Source organism: Homo sapiens, chromosome 16, assembly GCF_000001405.40.
Source record: "Homo sapiens chromosome 16, GRCh38.p14 Primary Assembly".
NCBI lineage: Eukaryota > Metazoa > Chordata > Mammalia > Primates > Hominidae > Homo > Homo sapiens.
The window spans coordinates 78,345,703-78,359,683 of NC_000016.10; the positions used below are offsets into that span (position 1 = coordinate 78,345,703).

Sequence of the window (13,981 nt, forward strand, 5' to 3'; positions counted from 1 at the left end):
TATGGGTACACACTCAGTGAAATGGCCATTAATACTGCTGTTCTTAACTCTGAAAGCAGAGTGGGCCATTTGAATGCTCACTTTGATATTTTTTAAAGGAAAAATTTGAGGCATTGACACATGCCTTTTGCTTACTTGCTTGGATTGGTTTGATCAACTTTGTTGCGGTCTAATTTATGTAAAATAAATTGCATCCATTTAAATATACAATTCAATGAGTTTTGACAGATGCACATGCCCATGAAACCAACACGAAAATAAAAAAAATAGAACATTTACATCACCTCAAAAAGATTTCAAATGCCACTTCTGTGGTGTATGACTCTGAGTCCAGACAGCCTCAGCTCCAGGAAAACCCTGGTCTGTTTTCTGTCACTATTGATGAATTTGCATTTTCTAGAATTTTAGATAAGTGAAGTTTTCTAGTACTTGTTCTGCATCTGGTTTCTTTCATTCCACATAATTACCTTGGGATGTACCCATACTGCTGCCTGTATCAGTGGCTTACTCATTGTCATTGGTGAGTAGTACTCCATTGTGTGGAGAAATCACATTGTTTTAAAAATACCTAATTACCTGCTGATAGACATTTGGGTTCTTCCCAGTTTTTAGCTGTTGTAAATGGATACTAATGTGAACGAAGCCACCGTGAATATTGATGCACTAGTCTTTGTGTGGACATATATCTGTTTTATCTTGGGGGATAATACTCTGGAGTGGAATGGGCAGGGTGGTCCGTATAGGGCTATGTATAACTTTTTAAGAGGTTGGCAAATACTTCCCTAAAGTGGTCATCCCATTTTACATTCTTGCCAACAGTGTTTAAGGATCCACTTCCTCTACATCCTTAATAATACTTGATATTATTGGTCTTCTAAATTTTCTGTTTGGGTACATAGTGGTATTTTGTTGTATATTTTTTTTTAATTGTGAAATATGTGAGTATGATGAGTAATGATTTTGAACATGAAAACTATGCTTATTGCTCATATCTATGTTATTTTATTATTTACTTTTTTTGAGATGGAGTCTCGCTCTGTTGCCCAGTCTGGAGAGCAGTGGTGTGATCTTGGTTTACTGCAACCTCTGCCTACTGGGTTCAAGCGATTTTCCTGCCTCAGTCTCTTGAGTAGCTGGTGTTACAGAAGCCTGCTACCATGCCTGGCTAATTTTTGTGTTGTTTTATTTTTATTTTATTTTTTTAGCAGAGACAGGGTTTCACCATGTTGACCAGGCTGGTTTCAACTCCTGACCTCAGGTGATCTGCCTGCCTCGGCCTCCCAAAGTGCTGGGATTACAGGTGTGAGCCACAGCGCCCGGTGGTCATATCTCTTTCTTGCGTTTTTGTGGGGGTTGGGGTAATAGGTTTATTGAGATATAATTCATATACCACACAGTTTCATTTTTAGTGTATTGACAGGTGTGCAGTCATCGTCACAATCAAGCCATAGCTTCTTTTAAACTTTGTCTTCCTTCTCTTTCTAATTATCTCCTTCCCCCGCCCCCTCCATTCTCTTTCCATCCTTTAAATGTCAGTGTCCCCCACAATTCTGTTGTTGACCCTTTCTCCCTCTGGCCAATGCTCCTTCCCCTGTAGATCATACCCATTCCCAAGATTTCAGTCATCAAATCCATTCCAATATGACTCCTGTATCCATATGTCTAGTTCCAAGTATCTGTCCATGGTGTTGGTCCCAGGTTATTCGCACCTCATATGTCTTTGGCACAGCACTCTTGACAGCTCATAAAGTCACGCTGTTACCCCCACAATGTCCCCCCACATATCATTGCTATCCCTCCTCGACACCCACACCTCTTGCATGTTCCTGAGCTTCTTAGGCGTGTTGCATCTTCCTGACCTTCCCAGTCCGAAGCCCAAGGAGATACTTGATAAATATTCGTCTAATAAATAAATGAACTTGTGTTCTCCATATTCCTTGAAAATATGCTTCACTTTTATCTTTTTAAGAAATTAATTGCATTACTATCTTATTAAAGGTCAAGAAAAATAATTCATATCACTCACTATTCATGAGACTGCTAAATAGTTGCCCTGGCAATTTCTGATTATAATTTTAGAAATATTTCTAACCTCTGGCCTTTTTTCTTATCTCTACTTAAAGCTTTTCTGGAAGGAATTCATTTTCCACTTTCCTTAATGTTCCTTAAATGTTGTACATATCTTAAAAGTGGATTCCTCATAAAACAATATGGACTATGGTCTTATTCTGTTTAACGGTATGAAGGCTCGCCTGAAAGGCCAAGAGTAAGATTCTTTTAAAATCATGCCCAAGTTTTAAAGGAATATAAAACTTTCTCTTTAAAAATATACCTTTCTGCTTCCATCCCCTAACCCACAAAGCTCAAGTCTAGTTTAATTCAAACTTGGAAATAGTTCTTTTATTATTGCTCCCTGCAATGGGAACAGAGCTGAGGCTCCTAAGGTCTAGAGTCAACATGAAAATACCTTTGCTTCTGGGCCATAGCTGTGTTTCTTCTTAACAAGGCAGAAGCCCAGAAGAGACTTCATGTACTGTGACTGTAATAAAGAGGGTTGTAAGTAGAGAAGCTGGAATTTGAAAGGTTACGTACAAGTCAAGCTGCCTCTGTAATGTCACTTATATCCAGGAAAGAGTGGCAAAGAACCATCCCAGCAGATAGCTTGAGGGTGGGAAGGGGGATAGGTTGTTGATAATATGGAATAGGAGAAAAAAGATCATAGAGCCAAAGAGCTCGATACATATACTGATGCGGTGTTTATTTTATTTTAGTTTTTTGAGACAGGGTCTCTGTCGCTCAGGCTGGATTGAGTGCAGTGAATCTTGGCTCACTGTAGCTTTTGCCTCTTGAGCTCAGGCAATCCTCCTGCCTCAGCCCCACCAGTAGCTGGGACTAGAGGCACATGCCACTACACCCAGTTAATTACTACATTTTCTGTAGAGACGGGCTTTCCCCATGTTGCCCAGGCTGGTCTCTAACTCCTGAGCTCAAGAGATCCACCCGCCTCTGCCTCCCAAAGTGCTAGGATTACAGGTGTCAGCCACAGTGCCATGCCCTGATGTGATGCTTAAATTCAGAAATTGGGAAGGAGGGTCAGGTAGCTATAAGCAAAATACAAGAGAAATATAAGAGAAAGAAAGACTTGTATCTGTTGTTAGTGAGTTTTTGTGGTGGTGATACATTAATGGAGGCAACAGAGGGTCAGAAATCAGGGTGGAAAATAGCCCAGCAGAGGGGAAAAGAGGAAGTCTGAACGAGGGCCACATTGCAGATAGAGGCCGGTGTACTGGTCTGCTCAGGCTGCCATAACAAAATACCACAGGCTGGATAACTTGAACAACAAAAATACATTTTCTCATAGTTGTGGAGCCTAGAATTCCAAGGTCAAGGTTCCGGCACAGTTGATGTCTTCTGAGGTCTACCTCGTCTGCTTGCAGACAGCCGCCTTCCCACCGTGTTCTCACGTGACCTAGCCGCTGTGTGCACGCATCCCTGGTTTCTTTTCCTGTGTTCAGATGTCCTCTTCTTTGAAGGACACCACTCAGATTGCAATAGGACCTGCCCTGATAGCCTCATTTTTTACATAATCACCTCTTTATAGGCCGTACCTCCAAATACAGTCACATTCTGAGGTAGTACGGGTTAGGTCTTCAGCATATGAATTTTGGGGAAACAGAATCCAGCTAACAACAGTTGGGGATGAGGCTATAACGAATACCACTGCCTAATGTTTGCACGGGGATATCATGCTTTTCAGAGACCATCTGCATCCTTATCTCACTTAATCCTTGCCCCACCCTTTAGAAGAAGCCAGGAGGAGGTCCTAGTCAGCTGATGTGAGATTACATGGCCCTGACTGTCTTGCCTGGTGCTGCAGGCCACCTTCACAGCCTTGCCATACCTTTTCCCGTTTATCCATGGATTGGTATGAGCCCTAATGGTGCACCCTTCCGACAATCCTTCATCCTTCCCAGACGTTTCATCAGCCAGGTGAAATTTGCAATTGTTTCAGTGATTGAAATTATGCTTGGAGTGCAGGTGTCACCGATGAAACAGCAATGCCTTGCGGTGACAAATTCAGTGTAGAAATAATTTTAGCAAGCCCAGTGATTGGAAAACAATGACTCAACTTTGAGCTATATTGATTTTGTATTTCTGGGCTCAGCTTTTGACTCAGTCTCATTCCCCAGAAATAATCCCTGTTAACATTTCGGTTTGTGTTATGGAAGTGTTCTCTCTTCTATGAATTACCTAATGCCCATACCATACATATGCCTGCATTTGTACACTCTTAAGCCAAATAACATCGTACTGTGTATTATTCTCTAGTAGCCTGCTTTTTATTGAACTTAATGATAAATGGCAAACATTTGACCATGTCACTTAAGTTTCTTACCGTGATCTCCAACAGCTAGGCAATATTCTGTCATATGGGTTTACCATACTTTTCTCAATCCACAATCTCATCAGAGTCCCAATAGTTGCCTGATATGTCTCCATCAGTTGTGAGGTATGTTTCAAGTGATTTATTACTAGAAATTCTTAGCGAGCTGAAGTTTGTAAATTTTCTCAAGCTACTTTATTGATATATAACACAGATACATAAACTTTGCCCATTCAAAATGTACAATTCAGTGCTTTCAGTATATTCAGAGAGTTTTGCAGCTGTCACCACAGTCAAGTTTAGAATATTTTCATTTTCCCAAAAAGAAACCCTTGACTGGCATCCTTTTCCCCACTTCCTTTTCTCTCCACTCCCAACCTCTCTCCCAGCTCCAGGTAACCACTCATCTACTTTCTGTCTCTATATAGATTTGCCTATTCTAGACTTTTCATATAAATAAATCAGATACTGTGTGGCCCTTTGTGTCTCGATCCTTACACTTAGCATCATGTTTTCAAGGGTCATTCATGTTGTAGCATGTATCAGTACTTCTTTTTTTAGGGCTGAGTAATATTCCATTTACGGATATGCCACATTTCATCTATGCATTCAGTTCACGGACATGTAGGTTGTTTCCACATTTTGGCTATTGTGCATAATGCTTCCAGGTACACTTGTCTACACATTTTTGTGTGGATATAGGTTTACCTTTTTTGGGGTATGCTCCTAAGAGTGCAATTTCTGGATCACGTGGAACTCCTTGTTTAACCTTTTGAGGAGCCACCAGATTGTTCTCCACAGCAGCCACACCCATCTACATTCTAACCAGCAGTGTAGGAAGGTTCCGATTTCTCCATATCTTCACCAGCACTCGCTGTCATTTTTCTTTTTAGTCTTGTCATTTTATTGGGTATGAAGCGGTATTGCATTGTGATTTTGATTTGGATTTTCTTGATGGCTTAGGATATTGAACATCTCTTCATATGATTATTGGATGGATGATTTTTTTCAGCGGTTATCAGGTCACACCTGTAATCATGCCCACCTCATTTTCTTACAGTGCAGTGTGTGCTTTTAGGCACATACCAAGAGCTTACAGAGATCCTTCTGGTTCAGAGGAAAGATTCACATCCCCAACAAACACTGCTCCCCGATTACAATATAGAGAGGCTAAATTATAGTCCATATCACTTTTCCTTTAAATCCCTTTACTTTTTTGTGCTACAAGAGTTTCAGAATAATAATTCCGCAGAAAAAAGTACTGATTGTCCAGCAGTTGTGTCAGGTAGAAAACTGGGATGCCCGACTGCATTGGTTTAGCCAGAACTATGGCCATGAAACCTTGCCTGGCCCCCAGGGATGGGGTGAGGGGGGATATCATATACGCTTTAGGTGGGGCAGAGGGGTGGTCTGCCCCTGTGCAGGCAGGAATGTTCAGGAAGCAGGCTGCCTCTGTTTCTACTCTAAATATTTAACATTCACGGATGGCATGGATCCTGACTAAGCGGAGCAGATGCTGGCTCTATATTGCACATAGCTCCTGAATATCAGCCCTGCGTGGCTATGCATGTGTTTTTTGTTAGTTTTTGAGACAGAGTCTCGGTCTCTTGCCCAGGCTGGAATGCAGTGGCACGATGTTGGCTCACTGCAAACCCTGCCTCCCAGGTTCAAGCGATTCTCCTCTCCCAGCCTCCCGAGTCTCTGGGATTACAGACGTGTATCACCAGGCCCAGCTAATTTTTATATTTTTACTCGAGACGTAGTTTCACCATGTTGGCCAGGCTGGTCTCAAACTCGTGACCTTAGGTGATATGCGCCCCTCAGCCTCCCAAAGTGCTGGGATTATAGGCATGAGCCACCACGCCCAGCAGTATGTTTGTTTTTCTTCAAACCTAGATCAAGAGTCAAACACTCAAATGTTTGGTGGGAGCAGTTGATGATCCAGAGCTTTGGAGTCAGCGAGACAGTAGAGAGTGGTGGAGATGGTGGCGCACAAGAGGGTCAGTGCCCCATCTCAAGGAACAGCTGCACCTCGGCCTATGCGATTGTGAAAATGTGAGCATATGCAGGCCAGACCTTGGCTTCTCTGTCTTCATTTTTCACAGGAGCCAGAAGTTTGGATGTGCAATGTGAAATCTCACAAATTAAACATGTTACATAACTGTATTTTGTTTCCTATCTCTGCTGTAATAAATTTTCTCAATGTTAGTGACTTAGAACCACACAAAAGTTACACTTTACAGTTTTGGAGGTCAGTGGTCCAAAATAGGTCTCAGTGGGCTAAAATCGATGTGTCAGCAGGACACCATTTCTTTCTGTAGGTTCTAGAAGAGAACCCACTTCCTTGCTGTTTCCAGCTTCCAGGGACTGCCCAAATCCTTTGGCTCATGGCCCCTTCCTCTATCTTCAAAGCCAGGGATGGCTGCTCAAGTCCTTCTCAAACTGCCCTGTTCCTGGTTCTCTCTCTTCTGCTTCTGCTTTTAAGGAACCTTGTAACTTCAGGGAGTCTACCCTGATAATCTGGGATAATCTGCCTGTTTGAAGGTCAGCCAATTAGCAATCTTAATGCCATCTACAACCTTAATTACCATTTGCTATGTAACATATTTATAGATATCAGGGATTAGTTCATGAACATATTGGGGTAGAGGGCATTCCACATACAGCAGTACCTATAATGTATATGCTTCTTAAAGAATGCATGAGTCTTAAATTTATTTTATGTCCTTGGAGTGTATAGCAGAGTTAGATAGATCCTTCTGGATTGGCGGTTGATTGAATATTGGCTGTACAAAGAAACTGGATAGGAGTATAGAGAAAAGATCAATCATAGCACTAGCTTATAGTTTATTTTATTCTTTAATGATTTTTTAAAAATATTTCTCTCACTTACTTGAAAAGCAGTCTTAGAAATTAACTGGAATGGGTAATTTATTCGTCTTTCTTCTTTTGTAAAATAATGGCAGTTTGTAACTCAGATTTTTGTATGAGGAATAAATAAAATACTGTCTGTTTTCCTTTGATCTTTCTATTTGTGGTCCAGCCAGCCAGCTAACTATGCATTCCTTTTTCTGCCTTTTCATCATAACACCTATCTTAGCAACTCTTCATTGCTGCTTTGCAAAGAGGATTTGAGATTGTTTATGTAGGGGCCCGTGTATAATACCTCAAGAGAAAAAGACACAGATGAGGCTATTAGGATTAAGGGAAAATCAAGTAAATCGAGAGGTAAAGCACTGTGCAGAAATATTGGCCAGAAGCTATGAACAGATGCCACAGCTGGGCTGAAGAGTTACCTGTGAGCCTTCCAGGGGTGTAAGCCAAGAGAAAGACAGTTCACCAAATCTATCGATTAATAGAAATCATCCAGCAGCAGTGCCACTGTAAGATGTTCAATACGTAGCACCTTTCTGTCCCTTCTCCTCTAGCCAGTTGGGACAGGATTAGCAAGCCAAAGACTTTCTGAAATAATCCTTAGCTATATTCTTGGTATTCACCAAGGAATTTACCAATATGCAAAGACTTGGGGATAATTAGTATTATCTTTGCCATTACCTGCAGTAATATTATGAAGATTAGAGATGTAACTCTGTCCTGAAGAACTGCAGTCTGTGGCTCACCTTGGAGAAGAACTTAAGAACTTATTGAAGTGAGCAGGCTCACCTGCCTTTGCTCAGAGCCACATCACCTGCAGGCAGGATCTGCAAGGTCAGCAGTTAGCGTCAAGTTGCACAGCCTGGGCTTGGGTGGCGTTCGCTTTACCCTTGCCCTTGATGTGGTGCCGAGTTGTCAGGATTCTCGTAAAATTCCTGGGTGATGGCTTCTTCTGTTCTCTTTATTTCCTTAAGTGAACATCTGTCTAATTGTTCACCTCCATCGCTTTCGTGCTTTCCTCATGCTTTCTCTCTTTCCAGACAATAAACTTTATTTTCTTCATAAGAATTCAGTCTACGCAAGGGTATTAGGCAGCTTGTTTGCACCTTTTAATTCCTGGATGTTTTCCAGAAAGGCTGTTTGCAGTAGTTCCAGTGGGTTCATCTGTGAATCAGGAAAGACAATGCAGCTTTGTGTTTTGGTTTTTATCAGTTACCTTCTGTTTGTAAACATCTGTTTGGAAACGTTTGCTGGTGCCCACCCCAGCACCCCCCCACCCCTGCCAGAAATAAAGGGATTAATCTCTTTTTGCTTGGCATAGGGAGAAGACAGTGTCTGCTGATGTGCTTAACTTTTTTTTTTTTTTGGTCAGGTGTGTAGGTATGTGACTGAAACCCATAGACTTTGCACATATTGTCAAATGACTTTCCAGAGGGACTCAGGCACTTTATTTAATTAATGCCAATGAAGCCCGTTAATCCGCTCATTACTGCAGTTTAATTTTGATGCTGGTTTTTGATGATGTATTGAAAACTTGTATAAACTGGCAATTACAACTGGAAAACATTTCTAGTTTAGAAGAGACCCTTATTTTTCATATGCTTAGAAATATCCAGCAAGCCACTTTTAAAGGCTTTTTATCACATTTTATTCTTAAGCTTTCTGAATTCCTTATTATATTTTGCCTGATAAATAGTTGGATTTTGTTTTTTGGTTCAATGTAAGAATATTCTTAAACTAGGTAAACTGTTTTGTTTGTCATTATGTTCTCTCATTCTGTTAAATTTTGTTTTCTATTTTTCATGTTTTTGGGTTTTTCTAGATGGCCTGTCTTTAACACTTCTTGATATTTTTGATTAAATTTTCATATATCATCAAAAACAGAGATGACAGCCAGGGGTGGTGGTGCATGCCTATAATCCCAACACTTTTGGAGGCCAAGGTGAGGAGACCACCTGAGGTCAGGAATTCAAGACTACTGGGCAACATGGTGAAGCTCTGTCTATCCTAAAAATGCAAAAATTAGCCGGGAGTGGTGGTGCATGTCTGTAGTCACAGCTACTTGGGAGGCTGAGGCAGGCGAACTGCTTGAACCTGGGAGGTGGAGGTTGCAGTGAGCTGAGATGGAGCCACTGCACTCCAGCCTGGGTCACAGAGGGAGACTCTGTCTCAAAAGAAAAGAAAAGTAGAGAGGATAGTATAATGAGGTTCCTGTCTGCCAGTCACTCTATAGTAACTATTAGGAAACCCCTTTTTTTCTCTGAAGTCATTGCTCCTGTGTGTGTGTGTGTCTGTATATAAAAAAAAAGTATGTATACATATACGTATATGTATGTGTATAGATAAAAATGCGTGTATGGTGCTGGGCGCAGTGGCTCACGCCTGTAATCCCAGCACTTTGGGAGGCTGAGGCGGGCGAATCACGAGGTCAGGAGATCGAGACCATCCTGGCTAACACGGTGAAACCGTGTCTCTACTAAAAGTACAAAAAATTAGCCTGGCGTGGTGGCGGGCACCTGTAGTCCCAGCTACTCGGGAGGCTGAGACCGAAGAATTACTTGATGAAACATGGCAGACAACGTAGACCAGCAGCAAACTACCAACACTGTGGAGGATCCCCTGGATCTTAGGCTCAGCCCAGAGGAGCGAATTTGTGTGAAAATGAGAAACGACCGAGAGCTTCGAGGCAGATTACATACTTATGATCAACATTTAAATATGATCTTGGGAGACGTGGAAGAAACTGTGACTACTATAGAAATTGATGAGGAAACATATGAAGAGACATATGAATCAACAAAACAGAATATTCCAGTGTTCTTTCTCCGGGGAGATGGCATTTTCCTGGTTGCCCCTCCACTGAGAGTTGGCTGAAACAAAGAATTTGTCCTGTACGGAAAACAGGAGACTTTGTACAGTGGCCTCTCTAAATGTGCAAGATATTCAAAAGAGAAACCCGCATACATTTGGATATTAAGAAATAATTCTGGGGATTCTTCCACTCCTGAAATGAGTTGATTTGCAGATAATTCACAACTTCTTAAGCTAAATGGTATTTTCGTTTTTCTCAAGCTCTTCCAATAAATATGACCACCAAGATTTTTTTTTCCTAAAAAAAAAAAAAAAAAAAAAAGAAGAATCGATTGAACCCGGGAGGTGGAGGTTGCAGTGAGCCAAGGTCATGCCACTGCACTCCAGCTTGGGCGACAGAGCGAGACTCTGTCTCAAAATAAATAAATAAAAATGCATATATGTATATTTGTGTGAATCATATACACATATATAAAATATATGTATCATATACATATATATCACATTTCTTTTTCTAGTGTGTGTGTACCTTGATTTATGTCTCACATATTCAAAATACTCAACTTGTTTAAAATAAGAGCACAACCTATTTAAGTAGTAAAGATTCAAAGCCTTCTTCTAAAATGCTTAACTTTCCTGTGGATTTGTGGACCCGTGGGAAAATCTCAGTCCCCAGGCAGGAAGGAAGGAGATATGACACATCTCTAGTTTGTTGTAAGTCGCCTACCCTAGACCTCATCTCCAGTGCTCTGAATGTGGAGAGGTAGGTGCAGGGCAGTGGGACAGAGAGGTGCACTTTGAAAGACTATCACATGGAAACAAAAGTTCCGGCTGGGCACGGTGGCTCACGCCTGTAATCCAAGCACTTTGGGAGGCCAAGGCGAGTGGATCACGAGGTCAGCAGTTGAAGACCAGCCTGGCCAGCATGGTGAAACCCCGTCTCTACTAAAAATAGAAAAAATTAGCCGGGCATAGTGGCATGAGCCTGTAATCCCAGCGACTCGGGAGGCTGAGGCAGGAGAATTTCTTGAACCTGGGAGGTGGAGGTTGAAGTGAGCTGAGATGGCACCATTGCACTCCAGCCTGGCAGACAGAGTGAGACTCCATCTCAAAAAACAAACAAAAAAAAGTTCCAATACACAATATGTTATATGAGATCTTCACCCAATCAAGGATTAAATGGCCAATTCCTAAATGATGCCTACCTTTTTATGGCCATGTATACCTTTGCCTCAGTACTACTGGCATTTGCTGACATCCATTTATCAAGATACAGGGATGGATTTCTAGAAGGCCCAGGCAGGGGTGCTGGCCAGGAGACACCAGGCATAGACCTTCCTTTCTCAGAGCCTTCGTGGCCCCTAGTTTGAATCTTTGAGTCACTGCAGTAAAGTTCCTGATGTTTGAGAGTACTCCTTATGAAGGGAGTCATATGAGTTGCTAGCTGGGTTCTCTGGATGGTGGTGTCATGCCAACATGGGAGCCACTAGCACAAAGAACATGCTAGGTTCTGTTGAGACCTGACTTTGGGAATAGCATAGGTACTTACCTTTCTCAGCACCACACAAACACACTCCAGAATGCAAAGGAACCTGCACTGTGCCATCTTGCTTCTCCCTGCATAGCCACTTCTCTTTCCAGTGGTGTTTGTATTTTGGTTCATTCAATCAATGAATGATTGATTGAATCAACCACTTGGTCCCTTCAATCTGTAACCTTCCTGCAACACTGTCTTTGTGATGTTATCATAACCTTGATTTTTGAGGGATAGAATTGGGCATAATCAGAGAAAACGTGGTCTGGGACACATTTGTGGGCTATTCTATGCTAAACATTTCCATATCATTAATGTTCAACACAGCTTTGTGGTGTTGGAGATAGGATTATCATTGTTAGGATGGTTATTATCAATACTAGCTGTGATTATTGATCACTTCCACATGCCAGGCACAGTGCTGGGTGCTACATATTTATTACCTAATTTATAGCTTGCTGCACTCTTGCTGGGTATGTGTAATTATTCCCATTTCACCCGATCCCTGGGAGTTTGGTGAATTAATCACCCAGCATCCAAATAGCTAACCAGTAGCAGAGCTGGGATTCAAACTCAGTTAGGCTGACTTCTGTGCCTGTTTTCTTGCCTAAGCGGTGGACGCATTGAGTAGGAGAAGGCCAGTTATTCCTCTTTGTCACTGATACAACTGGGGACCTGTTGCCGGAGATGTGGAGCTGTGCATTAGGGCTGGGTAGAACACACATAATGAACCATATGCACGAGAACTTTTTCATCTTTCTGCATACACTTGGAACTAGTTCTTTGTTTTTGTAAAAGCATCATGCACTAGGTAAAATGTTTAATAACACAGAGAAATCTAATTGTCAAGTATCTTCTCAACACACATTAATCAACAATTCTCCTATCGAAAGATAACCTCTTGTATTTACAAAAAAAAGAAGAAAAAGTGCTGTCATCAGTAAATTCATTCATGTATGTTATACACTCACATACAAAACGTATCTATTTGATTAAATTAGAACTCTGCTAATGAATTACTTTCCTTGATTGCACAGTAATAAAGTCAATGTTGTAAATATAATAATTATAGCCAAGTGCAGTGGCTTACACCTGTAATCCCGGCACTTTGGGAGGCTGAGGTGGGCAGATCACTTGAGGTCAGGAGTTTGAGACCAGCCTGGCCAACATGGTGAAACCCTGTCTCTACTAAAAATACAAAAATTAGCTGGGTGTGGTGGCACATGCCTGTAATCCCAGCTACTCAGGAAGCTGAGGACTGAGAATCGCTTGAACCTGGGAAGTGGAGTTTGCAGTGAGCCGAGATAGTTCTACTGCACTCCAGCCTGAGCAACAGAGCAAGACTCCGTGTCAAAAAATAAATAATATGTGTGTGTGTGTGTGTGTGTGTATGTACATGAATTATATACAAATGAGGGAAAATATACAAATGAGTTGAATATATACAAATGAGGGAAAAATTGTTCCTTGTGTCAGGAACAATTACTGTGAATTTTGTGTAGCTCTTTCTGACTTTTTAAAATTCAAATATATTTCATAAAGTTGAAATCACACTGTGGTCTTTTTTTTTTTTTTTTTTAACCAGACATATAGTGGCCATGTTTCTATGTCAATACATACTGTTTGGCAGTACAGTTGTACTGACTTGACATTATAGCTTCATAACTTAGTAAATTAATCCCTTATTGCTGGGCACAGATTCTGTTTTCCATTTTTTCAGTCATGAGCAACGTTGCTGGTTTACCTGGGCTAAATAAGAAGTTTAAATGCAAATAGATAATGCTTGAGAAAGCTTCTTCCCATATATACTCTTTCTGTAGCAGTGTCTGAGTGTCTGTACCTTCCTATACCTTCACCATATCATGTATTTGTCATTTTATAGTGAGTTGTATTACTTGCTAGGTGAGCTGGTATCTCCTCTGATAACACAAAGAAGGCCTGGGTTTGCTTGGCAATTTGTTCCAATATTCTTTTCAGTTTTAAATAAGTTTTGAACAAAAAGTTTTAGCATTTTACATAAAAACCTCTAAAGCTCTCAGGCTAATTAGTAATGTAGCATATACAAATTAAGTTTTTTTCTGCTGTGCTTAATTCTTATTAACACACTAATCATGAGAGCCCCCAAATTGCTGTAAGGAGCACATTTAGAAAACATATAAAGGATCGATAGTTGGTACTTAAGAAATCGTTGAAACACCTTTTCTTTTTTAATCTATCTTAGAGCTGAAAGATAAAAAGACTTAAAATGAGTTAGAATATGAGTTTTTCAGCATCTTATAGCTTATGAGTTAAAGCAAGATTTAAAAAATACATTTAACATACTAAATATTTCAAAAGCTACAGAGATACCGTAACATTTAAAAAAATAAATTTTCATT

General features: G+C 40.9%; 1 protein-coding gene and 1 pseudogene across 2 annotated transcripts in view; both read left to right on the forward strand.

Moving 5' to 3' along the window:
- The window catches only part of WWOX (WW domain containing oxidoreductase), a 1,113,014-nt gene that overhangs the window by 246,049 nt on the left and 852,984 nt on the right, over positions 1–13,981 (forward strand). The window lies entirely within an intron of this gene.
- LSM3P5 (LSM3 homolog, U6 small nuclear RNA and mRNA degradation associated pseudogene 5) lies at positions 9,792–10,358 on the forward strand (annotated as a pseudogene).